This window comes from Homo sapiens, chromosome 6, assembly GCF_000001405.40.
Source record: "Homo sapiens chromosome 6, GRCh38.p14 Primary Assembly".
Classification (NCBI taxonomy): domain Eukaryota; kingdom Metazoa; phylum Chordata; class Mammalia; order Primates; family Hominidae; genus Homo; species Homo sapiens.
This window is the reverse complement of record NC_000006.12, coordinates 27,315,035-27,330,042: the sequence shown is the minus strand read 5'-3', so window position 1 is coordinate 27,330,042 and position 15,008 is coordinate 27,315,035. Positions and strand designations below refer to the sequence as shown.

Genomic DNA, 15,008 nt, shown 5'->3' with positions numbered 1-15,008 from the left:
AAGAATGTAGTATGACATATTAAAAAGACCACCAATTCCCTCACTACTATACATTGTTTTTTTTTCATAAATTGTGTGTACAAATATTTGGTTCTGTTTCTGGATGCTGTATTTAGTTACACTTCTATTTTTATATCATTATGAAAATTGCCTACTATCTTAATTATCATAGCATTATAATAAACTTTGATATCTATCTGTGTACATCCTCTCATTCTATGCTTTTCAAGGTTGTCTTGGCTATTCTTGGATCTTTGCCTGGTTATAGAATGTTCAGAATGAGCTTGTCAATTTTCACAACAATAGTGTCTTTTAATTTAGTTGCATAGACTTTATAATTTATTTTAAGGAGAATTGTAATCTTTTATTCTTGCATTCAATTAATACAGTATATCGTTAGAATAATTTAGGTATTCTTTACATTCTTTTGGCAACGTTTTATTGTTTTCTGAATAGAGGTCCTGCACAGTTTTATAAGAGTTATTTCTAGGTTGAAAATGTTTTTTGGAGATATTGCAAATAATATCATCTTAAACATGTTATCGAGGCATAACATACACACATAAAACTCCACCTGTAAGTGTAAACCTTGATGAAGTTTCACAAACTGAACACACTCATGTAAACAGCATCCACTGAATCAAATTATAATGTATTATTAATGTATTAAGGAGTGTAATCTCAGGGAAGGCTATTTAGGGGAAGAAAGTGGGAAAAATTTATTGGTCACGGCTGGACATGGTGGCTCATACCTGTAATCCCAGCACTTTAGGAGGCCAAAGCGGGAGGATCAGTTGAGCTCAGGAGTTCAGGACTAGCCTGGCTAACACAGTGATACCCATCTCTACTAAAAATACAAAGATTAGCTGGATATGGTGGTGCACACCTGTAATCCTAGCTACTTGGGAGGCTGAGGCAGGAGAATTGCTTGAACTGGGTAGGCAGAGCTTACAGTGAGCCAAGATCATGCCACTGCATTCCAGCCTGGGTGACAGAGCAAGACACATCTCAAAAAAAAAAAAAAATTATTGGTCAGCTACTATATCCAACTGATCAAAGTTTTGCTCCATAGAGCATTAATAGCCCTACATATAGAAGTTGGGCATGTGCAGATATCAAAGATCGCTCAGCAGCTCATGTTTCAACAGCAGCAGAGAAGCCTTATAGCAGAAGACGAGAAGTTCAACAGAGGTGAACAGTGAAGTCCTGTTGTTTTCTGCACTCAGAGGAAATTGATTGCCATGACTATTGGGGTAAAACAAGTTGCAAGGTAAGATGGCAAGAGAATCAGAGGTGGCACATAAGATATGTCTGATACCCAAGAGTATGCTTGTCTTACAAAATATTTTAGGAAGTGTTCCTTTCTCTCTATTGCTTGAGAGTTTGTGCAAGATTCATGTTATTTGTTTCATAAATATTTGGAAGAATTCACCTTTGAAGCAGTATAAGCTGGGAGTGTTCTCTGTAAGAAGGTTTTTAAATTACTGATTCATTTGTTTAATAGCACTATTTAAATTTTCTATTACTTCCTGTATCAGTTTTTATAACCTGTGTCTTCCTAGGAATTTTTTCATTTCATCTACATTTTCAAATGCATTGCCATGTTATTATTTATAATATTCTCTCATACACTTTTTACTGTGTGCAGGGATGTATAGTGATGTCCTTTTTTATTTATTTTTTATTTTTTAATTTTTATTTATTTATTTTTTTGAGATAGAGTTTCGTTCTTGTTGCACAGGCTAGAGTGCAATGGCACGATCTCGGCTCACCGCAACCTCTGCCTCCCGGGTTCAAGCAATTCTCCTGCCTCAGCCTCCCAAGTAGGTGGGATTACAGGCGTGAGCCACCATGCCCGGCTAATTTTGTATTTTTAATGGAGATGGGGTTTCGCCATGTTGGCCAGGATGGTTTCAAACCCCTGACCTCAGGTGATCCGCCTGCCTCAGCCTCCCAAAGTGCTGGGTTTATAGGCATGAGCCACCACGCCCAGCCTATTTATAATATTCTCTCATATACTTTTTACTGTGTGCAGGGATGTATAGTGATGTCCTTTTTTTGTTTCTGATATTAGTAATTTATGTGAACTCTTATATATAAGAATATACCTAATCAGACTTGCTAGGTAGTTATCAATTTTGTTAGTATTTTCAAGTAACCAGCCCTTGGCTTTGTTTATTTTCTTTATGTTTGTTTTCCATTTCATTTTTCTGCTTTTAACTCTCTTGCTTTCTTCTTTTATGACCTAGAACATTATGGTTTCCTGTTCTTTCTAAAAGCCCTTAAAAGTTTATTTTTTTTTAGCATTTTGTTTTTTTAAATGTATTCAAGACTATACTGTTGTCAACTGAAAAATCATGAGATGTATAAATTTGGAAAGAATACTTTACTTTTTAAAAATAGTTACAGCCTGTAAGCTGGCTATACTGACAGGTTGGAAAGTGTAGCTTCCAGCCAAAGCCAGAAGGAGACACTTTGAGGGAGGAGGGGTTGGGCAGGAGTTTTATGCTGAACAGGTTTGCTAAACATACATATTTAACAGGTTATAGGAGGAGTTATGAATATTTTCAAAGGGGGAATGTGCATATACATGATAAGTAAACATGTAAGTTACATGTCACTTATGTTTACTATGTTACTATGGGGTTGAGACTTGATATTTAAAAAATTACAATTAGCCCCTATATGTCAAAAGGTGAAGCAGGGACACGGAGGTAAAGCAGGGACATGAAGTAGCCTTTGTAAACTGGCCAGAACCAGTCTGTGGTTGGTGGTCTTTTTATTAGGAGAAGTTACTGAAACTAGTCTGTTGCCTAATCAAAGCTGTAGTTATGGCTTGTGAAATGGAGGGGTCAGTTAGTCAGTGTTTGATGGGTGGTGAGCTGTAACTTTTTTTAAGTATTATTTATCTTGAAGCCAATGTTTGCTTAGCTGTTAGAGAAAAAGGAAAAAAATTAACCTTGTGGCAGTTAGAATACAGTTTATTTTTTAAGTGTATGGGTGTGTGACTTAACTCTTGTCTGGCATGGCCTTAGGTGTTGTTTATAATTTGCTATCATATTGCCACAAACAGTCTCTCTCTCTCTCTCTCTCTCTCTCTTTCTTTCTTTCTTTCGAGACAGAGTCTTGCTCTGTAGCTGAGGCCGCGGTAGCACGTTCTCGGCTCACTGCAACCTCCATCTCCCGGGTTCAAGCGATTCTCCTGCTTCAGCCTCCTGAGTAGCTGGGATTACAGGCGTCCACCACCACGCCCGGCTAATACGAAGAGTTCATTTCATTAGTCTTATGATTTCTATTTTAACTTTAATGCTGGTCAGTTGTTGTGTCTAAATTACAAAATAGAGGAAGTATGACGAGGTGTATCTAACTTCCCATCCTGTAATCTCCCTATATTTGAATCCTTTGAAATTTGCACAATCTTATGTCCATGTGTCTATTTAGAAACAGAAATAAATTGTGTTCCATGCCAAGCATCTTTTGGGAATCCATGAATCTAATCAACTCTATAAACCCAATGCAAAATTTGTGCAAATAAATGGTTTACAAATTTGAGAAATATACCAAGAAAGTATAGAAATAAGAGCAAATATTGTTTATTTTAAACTTATTTACAGGGCATTTTGGACATATACAGATGTGAAGTACTAATAAACATATAAGTCAATTCAGGAAATAAAAGATTACAAATGAAGGTGAAGTCATCTAAATTCCCAAATCTTTTCACATGTTCTTCCAAACCCCTTAAAGATAACCACTACTTTGAATTTGAATTTTACCATGTCCTTACATTTCTTTATTTTTACTACATTAGAATTTGCATTGATATAACTTTTCATGTTTTTAGAATCTGTATGTATTTTACACTTTACGTATTCATCTGCAATGTGGACATTTATGCTTGAAGAAACTTTCATAGATTGAGTCACAATGGATTATTTTTTCTCAAATTTTTGCCTAGGTGCAATCAGGACTAAATTTATTTTTTATTTTATTATATATTGTTTCTCTTCAAGTATGACAGCCAAATGAATAAATTTCTTTTTCTTTTTCTTTTCTTTTCTTTTTCTTTTCTTTTTTTTTTTCAGACAGGGTCTTGCTGTCTCCCAGGCTGGAGTTCAGTGGCGTGATCTTGGCTCATTGCAGCCTGGACCTCCCAGGCCAAAGGACTAAATTTCTAAACTCAGGAAAGTTTAAAAACACATTCTCTTGTGGTTAAAATAATTTTTATCAGGATTTCTTTGATGCAATAGAAAGCTGTGTGGTAAGCAGGGGGAAATAATCATATTTAAAATGGCACAGGTTAATCTGGAAACTTTATTATCATAATTAATCAATATCAAAGTACAGATAATTGGGTAGGAAGATGAAACAAAACTAGTAATGTTCTCCAGGATTAGGCTGTTCTCATACATGGAGCTAATATAAGTGGAAAGACACACGTTAGTCCCATAAAAGAAAACAAAGCGGCTCACCAGCAAGAAGAAAACATGACTGGCTTCTGTTTCAGGAAAAGATTGTGGAGACAGACTGATACTGTGAATATGAAAGACCGTCTTTTGATGCCTTAAGAAAATAGTCACCATGTAGAAACTAGTCCAAATCATGAGGAACAAGAAGAGGAAACCTTGAGTAAACATGGCACTTTGAAATATCATTGCATGGTAGTATATAAACAGTCTTGTTTTACAGTATATCAGAGAATATACAAGTCCAACATTAGTGGATTTGCTGGTGGCTACGGTGCTTATAATGACCCACATATTGATTAGCCTGTTGTTTAGGAATAAATCAATAAGGGAAAATTTATGGGGAGATTTGAGGTTTGAGCCATGCCCACTTGGAATGACAAGGACAGATGATAACAGCCTGAAATGTACTCAGGAGAGAAGAAGTACATACACAAATGCCCCATGTCATTTTATAAATGTATAGCCCTGTTTTACAACCAGTATCAACAAAAGTACTTCTAAGTCTGAAGGATGACATTATATATGGAACACCCCTGATGATAACTGTTATAACATTAGCCAAAGTTAGGTGCATGAGAATCACATCTAAGGGGTTCTTCTGATGGGGCCAAAATAAGAAGATGTACATATATGTAATGAATAGCAATAAGTTCCCCATGAGCCCAATGCCACTTTGAAAGACAGGTAAGATTCCCAGTGTTGTGTCACTTGAATACAAAATATTCATGGTTTTCTTGGATCTTTTGATTGAAGCCAGCACAGCCTAAACAGCAGCATAAATATATTCCACATATGAAAGTTTAGCAATCACTGAATTCTTAGAAAGAAATTTCAGTTTTGACATGAAAATGATCATGAACGAGGGACAAATCTATCATGAAAGAGGGACAAATACTCAACTATACATGAATTCATTACATTTTTGTGGGATTTCCAGAGGCTGGATGCCATGTATTGTTCAAATATCTAGAGAACAGAGTAAGTTTACGTGGCAGTTGAGATTTGCATACACATTTTTACCATTTGTTCTAGCCCGTTTTTCAGGAGTAGTCTGTTCTATTTTAAAGACAATTTCCCATGTAATAAAAAACAATTTTATTTCAAATTCTAGTATTGTATTTTAATTATAAACTTATAACTTGAAATATTTTTTACTTTTTATACACAGGTAATATTTATAACCTATAAATAGCAATATATGAATATGAATCCACTTTTCGGAGTGCTAATTGTACCACACTGTTATTTTATGAATAATGAAATGTATTTATAGAATATGGTTAACTACTGAGTAATTTCTGTCATTAAATGCTAAGTTTGCTTGTTCTGAAGAACATTCTTTGCTTAGGAAGCATATTTAATATTTTTACAAATGTAGTAAAGGTTTAATTGAAGTTGATAAAGTGATCAAATGTAATAAGGTATTAAATCAATTTACTTTCCAATTAGCCAACAGGGTTGATGAAGTCTTTTTCATTTAACAGATAAACAGCCCTTCTCCTGACACTGAATTACCATCTAGTTATTACATAACTTTTTATGTTTCCTTACAGCAAGGTATATTATAAACTTGGTCTCCAGCTTGCCCTGCAGTATTCAGATTACTGTACACATGCACACACATCCTATTGATTCTGTTTCTCTGGAGACCTCAGACTTAGACACCAGGGAAGTGGAAATGCAACCTGCATGCCCAGGGCCAGATGCATGCTCCAGAAAGTCCTAAGAGTACCTTTGGCTTGTACCCCTGATTGATCTTTGGAGTCCGTGCAAGCAGAAGATGATAGCTAAGGCAGAGTTGCAGGTGGCCTGGCTTAGAGATAAGGAGTACACCAGCTCAGAGCCCATCTGAAAAGACCAGAGTGTTGGGTTTTTTCTCCCTCTAGGTATTTATGAAAATCTTTGTCAAGTCACTGGCTGACTGCTAAGGTAACAGAACTTCAGTGACAACACATGACAAGCAATATAGTCTTTGCAAAAATAGTTTGCGAAACTCACTAAAGAAAGAGATGACTGAAATCCTCAAACATCAAAAATCAACTATAGTAAACCCTGTGGAGGAGAAAACATCTGATATCCAGAGTTTCCAGATTATAATATTCAAAATGTCCACTTTTCAACAAAAAACTACAGGGCATAAAGAAACAGAAATATGTGGCTCATTCACAGAGAAAAAAAGAAATGGAGAGAAACTATCCCTGAGGAAGCCCAGACATTGGGTTTGCTAGATAAAGACTTTAAATCAACTGTCTTAAATATGCTCAAAGAGCTAAAGGAAACCATGAACAAAGAACAAAATGAAACCAAAAGAATGGTGTATAAGCAAGTAAAGAGAATATAAACATAGAAAGAGAATAAAAAGATAGAATGTTAAAATGGAACCAAATAGAAATTATAGAGTTGAAAAGTATCATAGTTTAAAAATTTACTAGAGGTGCTCAACAGCAGATATGAGGATGCAAAAGAAGGAACCATTGAGCTTGAAGATAGGACAATTGAAAATATCCAGTCTGCTCATGCCTGCAATCCCAGCACTTTGGGAGGCAGAGGAAGGCAGATCGCTTGAGCCCAGGAGTTCGAGACCAGCCTGACCAATATGGTGAAACCCCATCTCTACTAAAAATACAAAAATTAGCCAGGTGTGGTGGTGCGCACCTGTAGTCCCAGCTTCTCGGGTGGCTGAGGCAGGAGAATCGTTTGAACTAGGGAGATGGAAGTTGCAGTGAGCCAAGATCGTGCCACTGTACTCCGGCCTGGGCGACAGTGAGACTCCGTCTCAAAAAATAAAAAAAAAAAACTCTTCACAATCTTGTGGTAAGAAAAATTTTCTTAGGACATAGAAAACACTAACAATAAAAAATGTTAAATGCAATTTCATTAAAATTAAAATCTGCTCTTCAAAAAACACCATTAATAAGATGAAAAAGGGCAGCCAAAAATTGGTAGAAAATATCTGTAATACATATATCTGACAATGAACTTGTATCTAGGCTATATAATTTACCTCACAACATCACAACAACATAATACCTATAAAATAAGGAGCAGCTGGGTGCGGTGGCTCACGCCTGTAATCCCAGCACTTAGGGAGACCGAGGCGGGGGAATCATTTGAGGTCAGGAGTTCGAGACCAGCCTGGCCAACATAGTGAAACCCTATCTCTACTAAAAATATAAAAATTAGCCAGGCATGATGGTGCGCACCTGTAACCCCAGCTACTTAGGAGGCTAAGGCAGGAGAATCGCTTGAACCCAGGAGGTGGAGGTTGCTATGAGCTGAGATCGTGCCACTGCATTCCAGCCTGCGTGAAAGAGTGTCTCAAAAACACAAAACAAAACAGAAAGAAAGAAGCCAGACAGAAAGGAAAAGTTACTCTATTACTCCATTTATAATAAATCTTATGAGTCACAACTAATGTAATAGAAATTAGAGCCGTTGGTTGACTAGGCCCAGGTCGTGGGTGCACTGATTGCAAAAGAACATGTGGGAAATTTGGGGAGAAGAAAATGTTCTGGTTGAGGTGGTTGTGACATTGTGTGTGTGTGTTGTGTGTGTGTGTCAAAATGATGAAACTGTATAACTTAAAATGACTCTTTTGTACATAAGTTATACCTCAATAAAGTTTATGCACACACATACACAAAACAAGAAAAATAGGATTAGTAAGATAGAAAATTCAAAGTATATTGAATTAAATAGAAAGAAGATTAAAAATATATTAGATGCAATAAACAACAAAAAGGGAAGCGAGAAAAAGTAGGTAAAGAAGGAATAAGATGAAGAATTAGTATCAATAAAAAGAAAATCAAAAAGGAAATATTAGAAAGAAAAATAATTAAATTACTGAAAGATAAGTATTGGTGATGGCTAAAATATAGAAAAGTTGTGAACACACTTTTAGAATAAACAGCAACCAATAAGTGAGTCAGAGAAAGTACTTGAAGAAGAGAGAAAGGTTATAAATTAATATCCAGATATGCAGTGAAAGAGGAAAGAGAACACAAATTAGTATGACATTTTATTTACAGCATGTTATGTAAAATCCTACAAAGGAAAGTTTGGGAAGAAGAAAGTAAAGTAATAAACCAACATGAAAATAGCAATGTTTACAAAAGGAAAATGATTTTACTTTAAGGCAGTCTAAAATATCAAAGAGTTTAAAAAAATAGAAAAATTAAGCAAAGACATCAAGGAGGGAAAATATATTTTTTAAAATGATACCTGAATTGTTAAATATTTTTCTAAATTATCGATACTAAAAATTAAAAAAATAATTAAAAGCAGTGTTAAAATAAAATCGGAAATATTGTTTAACAGAAGAGGATTTAAAAAAGAATATAAACCTGAGGTCAGGAGTTCAAGATCAGCCTGGCCAACTTGATGAAACCCCGTCTTTACTAAAAATACAAAAATTAGCCGGGCGTGGTGGCACACGCCTGTAATTCCAGCTGCTCCGGAGGCTGAGGCAGCAGAATCGCTTGAACCCAGGAGGCACAGGTTGCAGTGAGCCGAGATCGCGTCATTGCACTCCAGCCTGGGTGACAAGAGCAAGACTCCATCTCAAAAAATAAAATAAAATATAAAAAGAATATAAAACGTTTTGAACTTAAATATAAAGATGATTTTTAAAAGAATATAAAACATTTAATAAAATAAGACAATATGAATAGAGAGGGAATAGAAATTGAGGGGGAGCAGTAGAAAGAGAAAAAGAATGAAGAGAGAGAAAAAAGAAAAATAAGATATGAAAATCAGTGAAAAGAAAGTGTACAATAAGACATAGACACTATAGGCCGGGTGCAGTGGCTCACGCCTGTAATCCCAGCACTTTGGGAGGCCGAGGCGGGCGGATCACGAGGTCAGGAGATCAAGACCATCCTGGCTAACACGGTGAAACCCCGTCTCTACTAAAAATACAAAAAATTAGCCGGGCATGGTGGCGGGCGCCTGTAGTCCCAGCTATTCGGGAGGCTGAGGCAGGAGAATGGCGTGAACCGGGGAGGCAGAGCTTGCAGTGAGCCGAGATTGTGCCACTGCACTCCAGCCTGGGCGACCGAGCAAGACTCTGTCTCAAAAAAAAAAAAAAGAAATAGACACTATAGTAATGAAAGAAACAATACTAAAAGAAGATACAGAATGAGAAAAAAAGAATGCTAGAATTTGGAGAGTTTTGTGTGAAAAATTGTTAAAGGACAGCAAAAGAATAAAAGTCATATAAATCCACTTCTGAAGTTAGAGAAACGCAAAACCACCTGAGGAATGTTGTGAGCTTTAATCATAGAAAGAAGAGCTTTGTAGAGAAGTGGTTGTAAGAAAAAAATATAAAATATCTGGAAACTATGCAAAGCATTTCAAATATAAATTTGAAAGCATTTCAAATGTGAAAACATAGACCAATACAATATAAAACAGAGAAAAATAAGGGAAGTTATAACAGTAAAGAAGAAGAGGTTATCCAGAAAGGAGCAGTAAAGAGAAATCCATAATTGGATTTTTAAAAAGTTACGTAAGGTATAAAGTATAGAGAAAAATGATGGAAGAATAAAAATGCCGAGGAGATGTAACACATGAAATTAACTAAAGCTTGATTAAATAATATCAAAATAGTATATAAAGTATGGAGAGAATTTTTAAAATAAAGAATATCAAAGTAGAAAATGAAATATATAGAGAAAGAATATAAAGATAAGGTTACTTATTTAATAAATACTCGCTGAGGACTTATGTGTCAAGCAATGTTCTAACACTTTGCAGATACTTAACATAACTAAACCTCACAAAATCCTGTGAGGTAGATAAAATTATTGTTCCAAATTTACAGATGAGGACAAGAAGAGATTGAGTAACTTGCCCAGGTTCTCACAGCTCATATGTTGCAAAATTGTACTTGACCCAGGCAGTGGAGCCCATCCTGTTAACCACTACTGAGAAAATAAGTAGCAGAGAAGAAAAAGAGAAATGAAAGAAGAGAGAAAAAAATTTAAAAAAGAACAAAATGTAAAAAGTCAGTATTTGGTAACCAAAATTAATGAAATAAGACTGAAATAGAGGAAGGAAAATACTAAGGTTGAATTACATTAATTTTGGAAGAGAAAGAATAGGAGTTGTACTGGCTATTAAATTTGGGGGGACCAATGCAAAATGAAAACACGAGGGGCCTCTTGTTAATAAATTACTAAGAATTTCAAGACAATGACAGCAGAACATTAAATCGCATATGGGGCCCTTCTATACATGGAGAAATAAGACAAGGAAAAACTTTCAAGAATCCTTAAACCTCCTTGGAATTCTCAGAGCAGGGGCCTTTGAAGAATATTTACCACAGGAGATTTCTGCTGCCCACAACTGCAGGCAGATGCTCTCGTGCTGTGCAGAGAGGCCAAGGCTGGCTCCTTCACTTATAAGGAAGGCTCATCTGCATTTTGACTTGTCATCCTTAGTGCATCTGCCTTTGTGGAGGGTGGATTGCTCTGATGTGTCCAGAGAAGCTGCAAATAGCTCTTCCAGATGCCAAGTATCATCATGGTGAATTTATTAGAATTATTAACTGAAGGTGCAAAGCTACCATCTGGAAACACACACTTTTTCCTGCCTGAACAATGCAATAGAACATTCTGCTGCATTCCCCAAGGCTCTAGGACTGTGATGGGAGAAATTAAACAGTTTAATTTCACTCAGTCAATAAAATTACCATGAATTTTGCTATTGCTTAGGCCTTGTTGCATCTTCCCAGAGAATATTTTTTCCCTTAAGATGCTGCTATGACTTTTTTCATTTGGAGCAGGTTTATATTTCTGAAGTTTCCTTAAAAAGCAAACTTAATACTGTTCTGTTTAATGAGTCAATTCAATTTTTAATTGAATTCTCAGTACCTATATTAGTTGGTATGTACAAAGTGATTTTCCTAAGATTTAAAATTTTTACTGTATTTTAATTGCTTCCAACAACTTGTGTTAAATGTTATAAAGTATATTTTACTGTGAAAATTTGAATGTACATTCAAATGACATACACACAAAAATGCAATATATAAAAGTAAAAATACTTTTTTGCAAGCACAAATTTACCCAATAAAACTGAAGAAATAAAATATTGCCAATACTTTGAAGCCCTAAATCTGCCCTTCCCAATCTCTTCTTCCTTTCTTCCTCTGCAGAATAATTATTTTATATTTATCATTCTTTTTGCTGTTCTCAATTGATTTGCCACATATCTATGCATTATGAGAGAATATGTTAAGTTTGCATGTTTCTGAACTTTATATTAATGTTGTTCACACTTCTACATTCTGCTTTGTGAAGCTGGGGCTGGGACTGCAAACCTCACCCTGTACCCTCTCTTAGACTTTGGCAGTGGAGGACTCTAGAAGGACACTGGAAGGCTGGAAAAGAGAGAAGAAACTCTCAATTCTGTTGTTCTCTTCCTGTTAGCATCATCCCAGCAGCACTTCACGCTGTAGTAGCAGTAAGTTCCAGCAGCAATTAGTTCACGTTTTCAGGGTTGTTTTCCACACTCCCAGAACCAGCCTCATCATATCCTCTCAGAGTTCACAGCACCAGCTGGCCAGTGACCCCTCCTCAGAGATCTGGCTTCAGCACTGAGTCTCTTTCTCTAAGCTTCTAGCTTCTAATAACCCCACCTCTTGCACGTGTGTTTCCTCAGCTCTTGGGGTAGTAGCTGTTTCATGCTGTCACTACTGTTTCTTTTTGCCTTTTTAGTCTTCCAACACCCATTTTACCAATTCCATCTAGTAATCCTGTTAAAATAATCAGTGTGATCTCTGTTTTCCTTACTTGATACTAATACACCTCATGTGTATGAATCAAAAGACAAAATGTATTTTCCAGTCTTTGAACTTTATATATATACTGTCTTTTTATTCTTTGCCTGCCTTCTTTTGCACAACTTTTGGTTTGTGATATTCATCCATGTTATTGAATGTACCTGGAGACCATTCAGTTTACGTTGTGGTATTGTATTCCCCTGCGCAGGTATATCACAATTAAATTCTCTGGTGTTCGTTTTTGTGAATACACATTCAGATACCTTCCAGATTTTTTATATTCTAAATAATACTGCTATAAACATTCATGTATTTGCCTTGTAGTACAAATGTATAAGCTTTCTATAAGGCAGTGGTTTCCCAAATATTGGGTTTTATAGTTTTAGCTCTTATATTTAGCTCTTTAATCCATTGAGTCAATTTTTGTATATGGTGTGAGGTAAGTGTCAAACTTTATTCATTTGCACATGTCTGTCAATTTGTCCCGGCACCATTTGTTGGAAAGACTATTCTTTTCCTACTGAATAGTCTCAGACTCTTGGAAAAAGTCAGTTGGCCATAGACATATGGGTTTATTTCTGGCCTCTCAACTGTAGATTCCATTCATCTATATGTTTATGCTTATGGCAGTACAACATTGTTTTAATTACTGTTGCTCTATAGTAAATTTTGAAATCAGGAAGTGTGAGTCTTTCAACTTTGTTCTAGTTTTTCAAGGGTTCCATGCAATTGTAGGTGCATTTTTAGGGTTGAAGAAATTCCCTTCTATTTCTAGTTTGTTGAGACTTTTTAACATGAAAGAGATCTTTTGAGATGGTCATGTGGTTTTTGTTTTTTATTCTGTTGACATGGTGTATCATATTAACTGATTTTCAGAATTTAAAACAATCTTGCACTTCTGGGATAAATCCCACTTGGTAATGATATCTAGTTCTTTTTATATGTTGTTGGATTCATCTTGCTGGTGTTTTGTTGAGTATTTTTATGTCTGTATTCATAAGAAATATTGGTCTGTAGTTTTCTTTTCTTGTGATGGCTTTGCCTGGTTTTGGTATAAGGATACTGGTACTGGCCTTGTAGAATGAGTTGAGAAGTGTTTCCTCCTCTTCTGTTTTTTGGAAGAGTTTGTGAAGAGTTGGTATTAATTCTTTTAAGTGTTTGGTAGAATTCAACACTGAAGCCATCTAAGTCTGGACATTTATTTGTATATAGTTTTTTTATTACTAATTTATCTCTTTACTTATTACAGGTCTAGTCAGATTGTCTATTTCTTCTTGAGTCAGTTTCAGTAGTTAGCATCATTACAGGGATTTGTCTATTCCATCTAAGTTATCTAATGTTTTGGCATACAGTTTTTCGCAGCTGTCCTTTACAGTCTTTTTATTTCTATATGGTTAGTAGTAATGTTCACTCTTTCATTTTGGATTCCAATAATTTCAGTTCTCTTTTTTTCTTGGTCACTCTATCTAAAGGTTTGTTAATTTTATTGATCTTTTTGAAGAGCTAGTTTTTCATTTCATTGATTTTCTTGACATTTTTCTATTATTAACTTCATTAATTTCACTGTTATCCTGAATTTTGCTTCTGTTTAGTTTGGTCTTTTTCCAGTGTCTTAAGGTAAAAACTTAGTTTACTCATTTGATATTTTTCTTCTTTTTTAATATGGGCATTTATAGCTATAAATTTTCCTCTAAACACTAATTTACCTGAATCCCATAAGTTTTGGTATGTCGTTTCTTTATTTTCATTTATCTCAAATATTTTCTAATTTATCTTAATATTTCTTCTTTAACCCACTGGCTATTTAGAAATTTAATTTCCACTTATTTGTGGATTTTTAAATTTCTCTCTGTGTTTGATTTCTGATTTCATTCCATTGTGATCAGACAAACATACTTTGCATTATTTCTATCCTTTTCAATTTATTTGGATTTGTTTTATGACCTAGCATAGGATCTATCTCAGAGAATGTTCCATATGCTCTTGAGAAGAATGTACATTCTGCTGCTGTTTAATGGAGATTCTATAAATATTTGTTAGGTCTAGTTGGTTTATAGCATTCTTCAAGTCTTGTATTTCCCTACTGATCTATTTCTTAGTTGTTCTATTCATTACTGAAAGTGGGGCACTGAGGACTCCAACTATTATTTTTGCATTGTCTATTTTTCTCTTCATTTCTGTCACTTTTGTCGTTATGTATTTTGGTGCTCTTATTAATTGCATAGATGTTTATAATTGTGATATCTTCCTGATGGATTAGCCCTTTCTGTCCTTATTTGTCCCTAGTAACATTATTTGTTTTAAAGTCTACTTTGTCTACTCGTATAGTCATTACAGCTTTTTTTGGATGAAGTTTGCATGACATATGTTTTCCATCCTTTTACTTTCAATTTACTTGTATCTTTAAATGTAAATGGTGTCTTCTCTAGACAAAAGATAGCTGAATACTGTTTCTTTATCCACCCTGACAGTCTCTGCCTTTTGATTCAATTGCTTAATATATTTACATATAACATTATTATTACTGATATATTTGGATTTGTCTGGTATTTAACTTTTTATTTTCTGTATGTCTCATGCCTTTTTGGTTCTTCCATTCCTCCTATATTCCATTTTTGCATTAAGCAAATATTTTATACTGTAGCATTTAATTTCTTTGATGATTTTTCCACTATAAATTTTGAATTATTTCTTCAGAGGAAATAATTCAATAATTCCTAGGACTTATTTGTCATATACCTTATCAGAACACTTTC

At 35.0% G+C, this 15,008-nt stretch overlaps 1 pseudogene across 1 annotated transcript; it reads right to left on the bottom strand.

The window, feature by feature from the left end:
- Nucleotides 1-4,079: 4,079 nt before the first annotated feature.
- VN1R10P (vomeronasal 1 receptor 10 pseudogene) lies at nt 4,080-5,282 on the bottom strand (annotated as a pseudogene). The gene has a single exon (NR_045612.1). The product of NR_045612.1 is annotated as a vomeronasal 1 receptor 10 pseudogene (transcript).
- Nucleotides 5,283-15,008: the final 9,726 nt, after the last annotated feature.